The sequence below is a fragment of the Homo sapiens genome, chromosome 16 (assembly GCF_000001405.40).
Source record: "Homo sapiens chromosome 16, GRCh38.p14 Primary Assembly".
Taxonomy (NCBI): Eukaryota; Metazoa; Chordata; class Mammalia; order Primates; family Hominidae; genus Homo; species Homo sapiens.
Genome location: NC_000016.10, coordinates 10,076,479 through 10,090,987, shown reverse-complemented (window position 1 = coordinate 10,090,987; position 14,509 = coordinate 10,076,479). Strand labels below are relative to the sequence as shown.

General features: G+C 43.7%; 1 protein-coding gene across 7 annotated transcripts in view, besides 1 other annotated feature; it reads left to right on the top strand.

Moving 5' to 3' along the window:
• Positions 1–14,509, top strand: part of GRIN2A (glutamate ionotropic receptor NMDA type subunit 2A) — a 429,505-nt gene that overhangs the window by 91,921 nt on the left and 323,075 nt on the right. The gene's annotated exons all lie outside the window — the stretch shown is intronic.
• Positions 12,102–12,396: a silencer, noted in NCBI's record as "tiled region #8841; HepG2 Repressive non-DNase unmatched - State 20:ReprD, and K562 Repressive non-DNase unmatched - State 13:Ctcf". NCBI's record gives its function as "represses a minimal TATA promoter and a strong SV40 promoter by Sharpr-MPRA in HepG2 and K562 cells {active_cell/tissue: HepG2 | K562}" and the evidence as "EXISTENCE:reporter gene assay evidence [ECO:0000049][PMID:27701403]".

Sequence of the window (14,509 nt, the reverse complement as noted above, 5' to 3'; positions counted from 1 at the left end):
CATTGTGGTTTTAATGTTCATTTCCATAATGACTAATGATGTTTAACTCCTTTTCATTTCTTATTGGCCATGTGTATTTCATCTTTGATGAAATAACTATTGAGTATAGAGTTTTTTAGCTCATCTTATTTTTGAGCTGTTTGTTTTATTATTGAGTTGTAGGAGTTCTTTATATATTTTTGATACAGTTCTTTATCATATGTATGATTTGCAAATGTTTTCTCCTAGTCTGGCTTGTCTTTTTATTCTTAATGGTGTCTTTGGAGTGCAAAAGTTTTAAATTTTAATGGAGATGAATTTGCCTATTTTTTCATTTATGTCTAGTAAAAGAATAATGAATGGTTTTGTGTCTAAGAGCTTTCCGCTTAACCCAAGGACATGATGGTTTTCTCTAATTTTTTTTTCAAGGAGCCTTATAGTTTTAGTTGTTATATTTAGGTCTAAGATCTATTTTGAGTTAATTTTTGTGTGGTTTGGAGATAAGGATTTAAGTTCACTTTTTCACATATTGATATCAAATTTTCCCAGCATCATGTGTTGAAAAGACTATCTTTTTCCTATCAAATTATCCTGTCATGTTTGTCAAAAATCAATTGACAGTGTCAGAGCTTATTTCTAAACGTTCAGTTTTGTTCCAGTGATTTGTCTCTTTCCCTTAATACCACACTCTCTTGATTTCTGTAGCTTTGTAATATGTTTGAAATGAGGGTAATGTAAGTCCTTCACCATTGTTTTTCTATTTCAAAATTATTTTGCCTGGGTCTATTTTTTTTTTGGCTACTGGAAACCCCTCCCTCTTGGGTCTGACAGGGTTGGAGATAGATATGGTAAAATAGAGTATAGGGGACAGAGACCAGTAGACTGTGTCTTGGTCACCGTTGTGTCTTTAGCACCTCATATAATGCCTGGTAGGTCCTAAATACTAAAAAAGCTGTAAAATAAATGGATAAATGTATCTTAAGATTTTTTTTTATCACATGGTATCATCTATGTCTTGGGATTAGGGAAAATTTCCATGTCAAACTAAAGAGTAAAAATTCACCAAGGTTTTGATATGCTCTGATATGATCACTACTACTTGAGCCTCCCCCTCATCGGTTTTATTTCCCACCCATCATAGCTCCTGGAGGAGGATGGAATTAATTTCAAGGGGATTTGGGAAGTAATTGTCTTGTTGTTAGTTATAAATTTTTGAGAGATGATGGAACCTTATCAAGACAGCTTGCTGTTGAAATCTTATAGTTTCCCGTTTAGACCTCTGTTATTATTATCTGATTATTTGATTATTATTATCAAGGGTTTTATATGTCTAACAGTGTTAGATATTGAGAGGACCTTCCTACATGTTGCCTCTTCTGTCTGAAACAGAGCCCCTCAACCCTCCCGGAAAGAAGCACACATACCCCAAACTCTCTCATAATTCTTAGACATTCTCCAGACCTCAACCTCATCATTACTCCTTAGAAAAATCGTTCCTAAACCATAACCTGTATCAACTGCCCTCCTGGAACCCACCATATGCTTCTCGTTGGTAACACTTATGGTGGTTACATATTTAACATTCATTGTTGTGCTTATTTTATAAAGCTTTGAGGTATAGTTGACATACAAAAAATTGCACATATTTACTGTAAACGTTTCAATGAATCTAGACATATGCATACATCTGTGATACCATCACCAAAATCAAGGAGTACTGAATATATCTTTAACCTCCAGGGTATGTGATTAATGTATATTTCTCCTCGGGGATCATCAGCTTCGTAGGGGCAGGAACTGTATTAGTTTTCACTCACCGTTTTGTCCCTATTGATTACTACAGTAGTTGACAAAGTACAACTAACATTTTACCGAGCACTTACTTTGTGCCAGGCATTATTTAAATGCTATGGATATATTAATATACTTAATAACTACAGTGGCCTCTTGGGTTGTTCTTATTGTCATCCCATTTTTTAGATAAAAAAACTGAGGCATGAGGAGAGACATTATGTAACTTGCTCAACGTCATACAGACAATATGTAATGGGGCATAGAGAAGGGTGTCAATAATTATTTGTTAAACAAATGAATGGATGAATAAGAGAAAGAAAGGGTGAATGAAGCTCTTCCCTTGATCCTAGTTGGAAGCATGTCCTCTACAAGAGTGCTGACTTATCTTTTCTTGCGAGATGGATGGGAATACAAGGCTATGGGGATGCCCAGGAGACTGTTTTGGACTCCAGTGCTGCTGACTCTGGAGAGAGGAAAAGGTGGGGGTTGGGATAGTCTAGGAAATGCTGGCTTCGCACAACACAGCCGAGTGGGTGGGAGCCAAAAATAGCCAGTCCTTTGAGTAGAAACTCCTCTAGGGAGGAAACATTTCTTTGAAATTGGACACACAAATTAGCTAATGATATCCAGACACTAAAGAACTGCATGTTCCCCAGACAGCCCGCGGCCCCAGGATCAGACGCTGATCTTGTGGAGCACAGATTAAGAGATGCCGCAGGTCTAGGGTGGGTATAGATTGTTGTGTCTGCCATCCTCACTCACAGCCCTGAGCACAGAGGTGAGGACGCAGCCAGGGGCCAGCACTCTCCTTCCATGTGTGCCAATCCCTGCCTCCCTGTATGTCCTGGGCTGTTTGTCCAGGATGGAAAGTGGCACTGTGGCATTTTTACCTGTTTGTGCTCAGTGACAGTTGACATGACACAGAGTCTATGTTGGCAGTATTTCCAGGCCGAAGCTTAGGAAATCGACTTTAGGATGAATTTTTCAATCTGGGAGACTCTAACAGAGGCTCTGAGCCTGGGATGTGCAAACTACCTGCACTTATCTTCAAAATTGTGTCCAAATGTGCGTTTCTCAAGGGAGAGGGTCCAAAGGTTTCATGAGTAAACAACAACAAAAGCTTTCAACAAGGTATGGGATGTCTCCAAAAGGGTGAGAACCCATGATGATGATACTGATAATAGCAATAATAAAGTAACTTTTCTGAGTGCTTAGAATTTGCTAAGGCCAGGCGTGGTGGCTCACACCTGTAATCCTAGCACTTTGGGAGGCCGAGGTGGGCAGATTGCTTGAGCCCAGAGTTCGAGACCAGCCTGGGCAACGTGGTGAAACCCTGTCTCAAAAAAAAAAAAAAAAAAAAATTAGCTGGGCATGGTGGTGCATGCCTATAGTCCCAGCTACTTGGAAAGCTGAGGTGGGAGGATCACTTGAGCCCCGATGGAGGCTGCAATGAGCTGAGATCATGCTACTGCACTCCAGCCTGGGTCACAGAGTAAGACCCTGTTCCCCAACCCTGCCCAAAAATAAATAAAAAAGAAAATGCCAGATATGCATTAAGTCTCTTATATAGATGATATAATTTAACTGTTGTATCAGTCAGTTTAAGCAGGTTCATGCTACAGTAATAAGCTACTGAGATTTTGGAGTTGTTTATGAAAGTTGATTTCTTGTTCCAGTTATATGAGGTTAGTTGCAGCTCTGCTTCATGTCTTAGATGCAAGAGTCAGACTGACGGAGGGCTCCTTTCTAGGTCATTGCTAATCTCATGGAAGAGGGAAAAGAGAAGGATGTAGATGAAGAGATGGATCTTAAAGATTCTCCTGGAAGTGGCACTGTCACTCCCACTTACATTCCGCTGGCTCCCAGCCCAACATTGGCGAGGATTCCAATTGTCCAGTAGGGAGGAGTCCTGTAGAGAGGAGGGACAGCAGATATTTGAACAATAACATAATCTATTACATTCCTTATAAAAACCAATGCGGTAGATATAGTAGTGATTATTATCATTGTCCCTTTCTTACAGATGTGGAAACTGAGGCTCAGAGAGGTTAACTTTCTCCCCAGTGCTGTGTATTTATTAAGTGAGAGGTTCAAGATTTGCATGGACTTGGTCAGACTCTCGAGCCTACAGCTTTAGCCACTGCATTCATCGACTTCCATTGTTATAGCAGGAGCTTCTCCTCCACTCCTTGTTCCTCCTCCCCAATTCATGGTAATCCACACACACCAGTTTTCTTAAAACTTCATTCATGCTCAAGAGAAAACCATGTCCCTATCTGGATCCTGTGTTTGCATAGTCCCCAGCCTCTGGGCTCATTCTGGATCATCCAGCTAGGTAGGCATTTGTTTGGCAGGATTCCTGCCCACTAAGAGCTTACCATGAGTGTCATGGTGGGAATGAGCTGGGTATTTTTAGAGCTTGGCAGCCTAGCACTGCGGCTTGCTCTTCCCCGAGGTCTGTGGATTAGCCTAGGGGTAGCATATGCCTACGCTTTGCTTGCCTGGTCCTGGTACATGGTCCTGTGTACTGTTAAGAAAACAGATTGTCCCAGGTAGATATGTAGCCAGATATTTTTTTCTCTGTTTCCTTTTTTTTTTTTTTTTTTTTTGGAGCTGCTCCACCCCCTGGTATGGTGCAGCTTCTCCTGGGGCTCCTCTGTAATTTTACAGCAGCTTCTGAGCTAGTGAAGAAGGCGGGATTTGCTCACTTGCAGTTAAGTCTGGCCAGACAGCTGTTAGTTGTTGCCACAAACATCTTATGTGTTTGCAATCTTGCCTGTCCTCCTGGGTAGGCAGAATGCACAATCTCTCCTCAGGGGAAGTGAGAAGATCTAGAAGGCCCAAGGAACAATTATTTTTGGCATCATTGCTCCTCCATACTCATTATCCACATCTGTTGAGCATTCCTGTGGCCCAGAAGCTGATGGCAGTGTCACTGTGGCACCCTAGCTTTGATGTACTTATTGTCAGAAGCTCTGGATAGGGACCACCAACAATGCACTTTGCTGCATAGGTGCTGTGAGTCTCCATGGGAAGGAAAGCTGGAGATTTGCATAAAAAAGTATTTAGAATGTCCAGAAGCACAAACTCAGGTGTCATCCAATTCAACAAACACTTTCTGAGTGCCTACTGTGTGCAGGACATAGGATTTTGCTTCATGTAGAGGTTATAACATTCAAGAGGACACCCGTGGAGCACACAGGCACATCCCCCAATATGGCCCCAGGCATTACAGAATGTGACAGACGTGACATTTTTTGTTTGTTAATTAACTAATTCATTCTAGTGTTGTGGTTAAGCGCATAAACTTTGGGGCCAGACTGGTTGGTTTGAATCCTAGAAATAAAAATAAAATCCTAAACCACCCCAACTAATTAAATGGAACCCCTTCTTGGCCAGGGGGATCCCAGAGAAACCTTGAAAACTGAGTTCCTAGCCATAACCAGACAGGAGCTCAGACTTACCACATTATATCCTCTCCCTTGCTAACCATCATTTGGCTTTCTTTCCTAAGGGTTAAACAGAAACAGGCCATCTCAAAAGACTTGTTCCATCACTGTTTCCAACCAACCACCTGACTCTGCCCCTCGCTTTATACAGGTTTGACACGGCCAACCAAGCAACATTCCTTCCTGATAAGATTTGCACACCCAGAACTAGCTTCTGTTTGCATGAAGTGGTTCTGGTCAGTTTACGGGGGCTGCACACTGAGTGCCTTCATGTCCTCTAATTCACCTTTTGACACATGGGGCCAAATTATAGTATACTTAAATGTTATGTTTTCACCCCAAAATGAACATGGCATGTATATGACATTCATATTAATTTACTGTGCATTTGCGTGCCCTTCTTTTGTGAATATTCATAGCTCCTCCTATAACTTGAGTATGTATACTTAGCCATTCTGTTAGCATAAATTCCTGTCTCACCTTGCCTCCTTTGAAGTGCCTGCCTCTGGTTTCTGCTGGATGCTACACTCCCCAGCCTGCGAGATGGTCAGCTTACAGGCTGCAACCCCTTATAAGAAATAAAGCTCTCCTTTCTAGATGCATGAACCTCGTGTTTCTTCAGTTGACAAATCCTTACTCTGTAACTCACTGGCTATATAACTGAACAAGTGACCAAAACTCTCCCTGCCAAGCTTCTTTCTTCCCAATATGGGAATGACAACAGTACCTAGCTCAGGGAGTTGTTGCAGGGATTATATGAGTTAATATACATAAGGCCCTTGGAATGGTTCCTGGTGCATAGGAAATTGTATCAAAGTGTTGGCTGCTACTAACACTATTATCATTTATGCAATAGATATTTATTGATCTATGTGTCAGTAGACTGTTGTCTACTATGTATCAGGCACTGACCTAGGTCCCAGTTGTGGAACATTAAGCTCACTCCATATCCTTTTACCCTTACGGAGCTTGCATTTCAGAGGTTGGAGGCAGAAAATAAATAAATAAATAAATAAATAAAGTGTCAGGTGGTGATTAAGACATGAATGAAAAATCATACTAGAAAAGTCAGATGAGGGAGATTAATTCCTAATTGAGCAAAGATGATGAAAAACTTCCCCAGAGGAGATGACACCAGCTGAGAAGAGGCATGGTAGTAAGAGGCAGGCACCCAACATGCAATTCCAAAATGAGATTTTGCTAGAGAATGGGAATATCCTTCTTGGGGGTCATATTGTTACATCTTTCTTTTTCTTGCCGCCTATGAACAGGAATTCTAAATAAGGTCAGAGACTGGGGTTGTCTTTTGGTCTTAGTGGCCTTGGTGTTGGACCCCAGGTTCCAGGAAGTCTTTTATCCCAGCAGCAGTTTTTCGGAGAGAAGACTCACTTATATGCAAGACTGACATGAAAAGGGGTTTGCTCTGTATGAGGCTGTGAGCTCAGCCCCATGCTTAAAGTGCTGAGTGGGAAAAAGGGCAGAGACTATGCCTGTTTTGTATTCAAGGGGCTGGCACAACATTTGGTTCTTAGTAGGTGCTCAGTAAAGAATATAAATAGTCATTGAGTGTTTACTGTGTGCTGAAGACATGTCACCAGGTTCTAAGCCTTTGATATTTGTCAACTTATTTAATTTTTACAACTGAATGCCTTTTGTTGTTGTTGTTAGACAGGGTCTCACTCTGTTGTCCAGGCTGGAGTGCAGTGGCATGATCTCGGCTCACTGCTGCCTTGACCTCCTGGGTCCAGGCGACCCTCCTTCTTCAACCCCCAAGTAGCTGGGATTATAGGCATGTGCCCCATGCCTGGCTCATATTTGTATTTTTTTGTAGAGACAGGGTTTCACCATGTTGGCCAGGCTGATCTTAAACTCCTGAGCTTTAGTGATCCACCTGCCTTGGCCTCCCAAAGTTCTGGGACTACAGGCATGAGCCACCACACTCAGCCCTGAATGCCTATTTTTGTCCCTGTTGAAAAGATGAGGAAACTGAGCACAGGCCATGCTGGGGCTATCTAAGGACTCTTCATAGAAAGAATTCAAGAAGACTTCTTAGAGAAGGTGACTTTATAAAGCATGTCTTGAAAGATAAATTCGTCAGGTAGGAGAGTAGGGATCGGGGGTGAGGTGCAGAAAAGAACATTGTAAAGAGAAGCAGCTCTATGAGCGTGTTTGGTAAGTTCAGTCCAGGATGCAGACAGGAGTAGCAGGGGAAGAGGGTAGAGAGAGGTCAGGGTGAAAGCACGTGGGCCTCATAGGCCTTACTCAGTGATTTAGATCTTTATCTTGACTGCATCAGGTAGCTATACAAGTAATTCCTGAAAAGGAAATGTCCTGAGATCAAACTGGCTTTACTCAAAGGTCACCATTTAAACCCAGCCATGCACAGTTTAGCACTTCATTAAATATTGTGTCCTAATGGTTGCTCCCTTCTCCCAGGGGCCACACACGTCTTCTCATGTACATAAGCACTCGTGGAGTCTGCGGTTGGAAGAAATCACGCAAGGACTGGTTGTGCCTTGCACACCTGTCACAGATTTGCACACCCAGAACTAGCTCCTGTTTGCATTGTCTCTACTGTAGCTTCTGCAAATGACAAATGTGGGGGTTTCTTCTTGGATGAAGTGGTTTGAGGTTTGAGGTTTGAGACTTGGATGTTTTCTTTGAAAATTTTTTATTTTTTTATGTTTTTGCAAAGAGAAACTTGTTCCTCTTCCTATGCTCACTGAGTCCTCTTTTCCCTAACTTCTAGAGGAAGTGCATTTAATCATGCTGTGATCAAGTCAGCCCTGGGTACCCATGTTGGCTTTTAATTTTAAAAAAGAATGACAGGAAAAGAAAATGGGCCAGTTAGGTTTTGAAGATTTTTCTATTTTATTATTATTAAAGGAAGCCCATGTGGGAGAATGTCTGGTGCTAGTTTCTCATCTCGGCACTGACATCATCACTATCTTGACTGCTGTAGGTATTATTTGTTCTTGGCTTGTGTATCAGCTATCTATTGCTGTGTAACAACCGACCACCAACTTAGCAGGTGACACCCATTTATTATCTCATGGGAAATGAGGAGGCCACTCAAAGAGGCCTCCTTCTTCAAAACCAGTGATGGAGAGTGGAGGAGGGCTCTGCTGCTTCCAGTCTCTGAGCACAGGGAAGGTTTAAGCCTTCTTTTAAAGGGCTCATCTGATGAGGCCAGGCCCACCTTGGGTAATCTCCCTTTTGATTAACTCAAAGTCAGCTGATTAGGGAACTTAATGATATCTTCAAAATCTTGTCACTTTTACCATATGATGTAACATAATCACAGAAGCGATGTCCTATCATATTCACAGGTTCACCTGTACTCAAGGGGAGGAGATCACACAAGGACATGGGTCATTGGTGGTCATCTTAGAATTTTGCCTACTGTGGCTGGTAATCCAAACCAAATATTCTTCCTGTGGATTAAGACTATCACTTTGGGAACATCTTAGAATTCTGCCTGCTGTGGCTGGTAATCCAAATCAAATATTCTTCCTGATCTTTGTGTTAAGACTACCACTTTTGGAACAGCCATTTTCCAAAGCTCTCTCATAATTCCATCGTAGGCAGAGATGGAGTGTGGCCATACAATGTTTTGGAGGCTCCAAATCTAGGTAAAGTGGAACCACTGGAGACAGAGTGCCATCTTGTTTCTGGAGTCAGGCAAAGACACTGTGTCCAGGTGGGATTTGCTTGGAGCTGATTTCTCTGTTGGATAAAATAGACCAGTGGCTTCATAACCCTATGAAAAAATAAGGGTTCTATAAGTTGACACATTTTGGAAGTGGAGCTAAACCCAAGGCTGACTCCAGGACTACAACTATTTCTACTTGGAGCCCTTGAGCTTATTTTTCCAGTACATAGGTCTCAGCTTACCAATCTGAAAATGGAGAGTAGGGACATAGGGCCTTGGAGGTTCCTACTTATTTTAATCAGTTCCATAGCCTGACCCTGGTCCAGTGAGCATCAGATTTGGAGACTGTGCCATTTATGAAACAGGCAGGTATTGGAGAGACTCCAAAAAGCTTGTCTCATGTGTGCTTCCCTGCAAAAACAGCCAGTTCCAGCTAGAAACTTTATCTTCATGAAAGGAAACCTCTAGGCAGAGAGAAGTTCTATTTGTTTTTACAACTATCCCCAGTTGTATTTGAAGATGGCAAAATGTTGGGCTTAAGGCCTGCCCTGGGTTCATGGAGCTAGCTTTCTTAATGCCTCAATCATACTTTTAATCAGAAAAAATTTAGAGCATTAATCTTCAGTGCTTGTTCTTGCCATTTCCAGCCACTAGACACTTTTTCATAAACAAAGTGACAGTTTGATTGAATGTGGTTTTTAATTAAGCTGCCTTCACTTGGAACAACTTTCTGGGGGCATATGTAAGGAGCAGAACTTAGAAGCACAAGCTGAGACTGACTTCGCAATAGCTTCATCTCCAGGCAGAGTTTGAGAACAAAGGAAACCAGGCAAGTGGAATTAACCAGGCACCTTAATCCAGGGCATCAGCTCCCACTCCATCCTAGCTGGCTGTCCCTTAGAATAAGTGTGGGAAGGCGTAGCAGTGAGTGCAGTTGCCTCATGCTAACCTCAGGACGAAGCATGTAAGAGCCTCGGAAATTGCCCCATGGTAGATATTTATATTAACGACATTTGACCTGTTTATGGCATGTCACTCTCTTCTGCAGTTGGGACTCTGCAAACACAAAAGGCAAAAAGACCACTCTGATTCTGCCCTCAGGTACAACTCAGAATTGTATGAGCAACAGTGGATTCTGCAGTACAAGATCTCAGAGTCTAACAGGGAGGCGAAGATATTCACTGGGGCAGAACATTTGAGACGGGAATGAAGGAATGGGCTACCTGAGCTTGGAGGGTGGAGATGTGGCTGGGAAACACTTTGAAAGCCCTTCAAAGGCTGTTCAAGTATAATGGGGACAGTCATATGACAGGGCTGGGCCTCCTTGAGGTGGGTGTTTGGATGGTAAGAGGGTCCCAGGCATTGTCATCTGGCTGCAATACAAGGATCTGCAATACAAGGTGAGGGTGATATTGCTTTAAGTAGCGCTCATCTGTACTCCATCGCTCCCTTTGTGTTCTGTGGTGTATAGATCTACCCTGATAAATAGCTGCTGCCGTGGAGAAATCCATCAAGCCTTCAGCCTCTGCATGACTCATTTCCCTGTGGCAGGCGTGTTGCTCGGCTTCCAAGAATAGCCTAGCCTGAGGGATCCAAGCTCGGAATCCCTTCCAACTTTCTGGGCTCTGAAGTTTGGCACCCACAGAGGTCTATGCTTAGGTAACGGGGTGCAGATGGCTTGTCGTTTGCAGAGACAGTGGCTAATAACCATCTCCCTTCCACCTTCGCTTTCTGCAAAAGCCCAGGGCCTGGCAGAGTCACATTGCTTGCAAAGGAAGCCTAATCATAAAAAGGTGCCTTTTGGTGGCTTAAAGATAAGGTAATCAGGAAACCCATTCATTGATTTATTTGCTCATTCAACAAATATTTGATGACTGCCTTGGGAGTGAGAACCACAGCAAGAAACTTAACAGGGGACCTTACAGAGGCAAATCAGATCTCAGTGCTAAGCCCTGAATATACTCTGCTGTTGTGGCAACCAGGCAGGGAGATGATAAGAACAGTAATTGGCATTTATTAAGCACTTACTGTATGTGGTGTATTAAGTACTTTACATGAATCAATTTGATTAATATGCACAAAAGTGCCATCAATTCAGTTCCATGATCATTCTTATTTGCTCGCTGAGAGCAGCATTGCACAGAGGGTAACTTGCTCATTCTCATACAAAGTGCTCATGCAATTCTTCATACAGGAATTGCACCCAGGGTTCTCTGATACAAACACATAAAAATCACACTGATTACACCATTGCGTTATCATAGCAACCTTCTTTCTGTCACTTCTTCCCAGCCTGTGCCAAGCTCTTTCCTGCTTTCTTAGTCTGTTTGGGCTGCTATAGCAAAATGTCATAAACTGGGTAGCTTGTAAGCAACAAACATCTATTTCTTATAGTTCTGTAGGCTGCTTAAGTCCAGGGTCAAGGCACCAGAAGATTCATGTCTGGTGAGGGCCTGCTTCCTTTTTCATAGATGGCTGTCATCATTTTGTTTTGTTCTTCATTGGTAATGGAAGGGGCCGTTGATCTCTCTGGAGCCTCTTTTATCAGGGCATGAATATCATTTATGAGGGCTTGGCCCTCATGACCTAATCACCTCCCAAGGGCCCTACCTCCTAACACCATCACATTGAGGATTAGGTTTTAACATCTGAATTTTGGAGGGATACAGACATTCAGACCATAGTGCCTACCCCATGGGCTTAGCGTTTTCCTCTGCCTGAAACATGGCTGCATTGTCTCCATCTCATTCTTCAGGTCTCCCCTTAAAGGCCAACTCCTTAAGAGGCCTTCCCTGACTACCCAGTCAGTTCTCTCCTATTATTCTCTAGCTTGCACTTTATTTCTTTCACAGCCTTTATCATACTGTGACATTACCATTTTTTTTGGTTGTTATTATCCATATGCCCCTCTCCTCCAGTCCCTACTAGAAATTAAGCTCCCAAAGGCACAGGCCTTGTGTATCTTATTTGTGCTAAGATGGTGCCTGACACCTAGTGAGTCCTCAGTGAGTGTGGTATGGGTGGTTGGAGGAAGGAGCTCGGACCTTCAGTCCTCACAGATGCACAACAAATCTCAGGTGTTGTTGCATGGCTGTTTGAATGAATGGAGCTATGAGCATAAGGCTGTATTGTTATTGTTGTCACTGTCATGATCATGGCTGGTGAAAAACAGAAAGACACTGGGGATTCAGAATGCACAACAGTGTTTGCAATTGCAATGCAGAGACGGTGATGTGGCAGGCAGTCAGTCAGCCAGTCAGTCAGCATGCTCCCTTTCCGGGATCTGCCAGTGGAGTGCACTGTGCCCCATGGATGGGCTTCGGAGGGGGTAGTGGTGACATCAGCTCCCCAGCAGCTTCTCACCTCTCTTGGCCTGAAGGGGGCTGTGCCCTTTGTTTCACTGCAGCTGCTGCAGACAGAGAAAGGAGGAGATTCCCAGCCTCGAGGTTGCCTCGCAGGGCAGTAGCAACCGAGGGCAGAGCACAGAGGAGCAGCTGCATTCTCCATGGGGACATGACTACGTGGCCTGGCTTCTCCTGCCCCCAGGGGCTGGGGGCCTGCCAGGTGCTCTGAGGATTCCCTATTGCTCTTATCTCCTTCCCTCCTGCATCTCAATTTGCCTCCCCCCTGGACTCTGCTTTTCCCCCCTTGTCTTGCCTAATCTGCCACAAGGACATGCTGGAAAGAGGACTTTCTGTGTTCTAGAACATTCTACATGTGTGGCTCCTGAGTCTCACTTTGTCCACCTGTGAAGTGGGCATTATACCCACCGAGAGTGTGGTCACGAGGAACAGACGAGGCTGTCATTTCCCCAGCACGGTTCCAGGCACTTGGCTGGTAAAGCTCTGTGGTGTTTGTTCATCACACTGGACCACAGAGCAACAGTGTCTCACATGTTATGAAGATGTTTCAATCCGTGGACTAAGCACTTCATTATTGTTGTTGTCATTATTATTACTAACATTTTCTAATTTAACAGCTTTATTGAGGCATTGACATGCAATAAACCGCACAGCTGGATGAGTGCTGATGTAGGCATATACCTGTGGAACCATCACCACAATGGTATTCAGCCCTTACCACAACCGCATTTTGCAGATGAGGAAAAAGAGGCTTAGAGAGAGAAATACCTTATCCTGGTTCACGTGGATGGCTAAAAGCAGAGCTGTCTGATCCAGGCCTGAGTTTACCTTGGAGACAAGAAACGTCAGAGATAAGGCTGCAGTCTTAAATATGATGCCACGGAAGGTATCACCAAAAAAAATGGTATTTGGATAAAGACCCTAAAGAGGCTTCAAAGGGAGTGGGCTACGCAGAAGAGCATTCCAAGGAGAGAAAATAGCATATGCAAAGGCCCTGAGGTGGGGGTGTTTTCCAGTGTGTTTCAGAAGCATTTAAGAGGCCAAGCTGGCTTGGGGATGGAAGGAGATGAGGGCAGAAAGGTAACCGGAGGCCAAACTCTAAAGGGCCTTGTAGGACTGTGCAAGGTCTTGCCTGAAACACCATTGCAGGGTTTGGGGCAGATAATAAACATGGACTAATGGGGCCATTCTGGCTTCACTGTTGATACTGGATTGTAAGAGGGCACAGGTGGAAACAGAAGTCATCCAGGTGAGAGGTGGCATGGACCAAACTTGTAGTGGCAGTGGTGAGAGTGTGGGATGTACTGGGTTTACTGATGGATTTGTGCAGAATGAGAGAAAGAGGAGAGTTGGAGATGCCACCAAAATGTTTGGCCTCAGCAACGAAGTCAGGGGCTAATGTGGCTGAGATGGATGATAGACTTGAGATGCCTGTTACACATCCTATTAGTATTTTTTCCCTTTGCTGCTATAACAAATTACACACAGTGGCTTAAAGCACATCAATTTATAATCCTACTGGTCACCCACATCTCACTGGGCTAAAATCAAGGTGCAGTGCTGTGTTCTTTCTGGAGGCTGCAGGGGAGAATCCATTTACTGGGCTTTCCAGCTTTTAGAGGCTGCCTGTACCCTTTGGCTTGTGGTCGCTTCCTCCATCTCCAGTGCCAGCAACATTGCATTCCTCTGTGCCTTTCTTCTGAAGTCACATCTCTTTCTACCCAAAGCCAGGAAAGGTTCTGCACTTGTGACCCTGGTGATGATATTGGCCCCACGCAGGTCATCCAGGATAAATTCCCCTCTGAAGATCTTTAACTGAATCACATTTGCCAAGTCCCCTTTGCTGTGTAAGGTAACATGCTCACAGGTTCCAGGAATTAGGGTGTGGACCTTGTTGGGGACCAGTGCTCTGCCTACTACACACATATCCTGGTGGAGATGCAAGGAGAGACTTTGATGTTTGAGTCTGGCTTTTCAGAAGTGTAGGTAGCTGCAGATGGAATGTTCACAGTGCTCTCGACTCTTCCATATTTACTTTCTGCATTTGTTCAGTCGTCATAGCTCTTTCTCCTCCAGACTATGAGCTGCTTGAGGTAGAACTTGGGTCTTTTCCTCCTTGTGTGTCTCAGAGCCACACCCCAGAGAGTGCTCTGGATTGTCTGTGACAAGAATACAGTTTGAGTTCAAATTTAAACCAAACTCATCTCTTAGATGAGGAGCATCATACAGATCCTAGTGCGTGGGAGGGCCACGGACATGTGTCTCCACCCTGC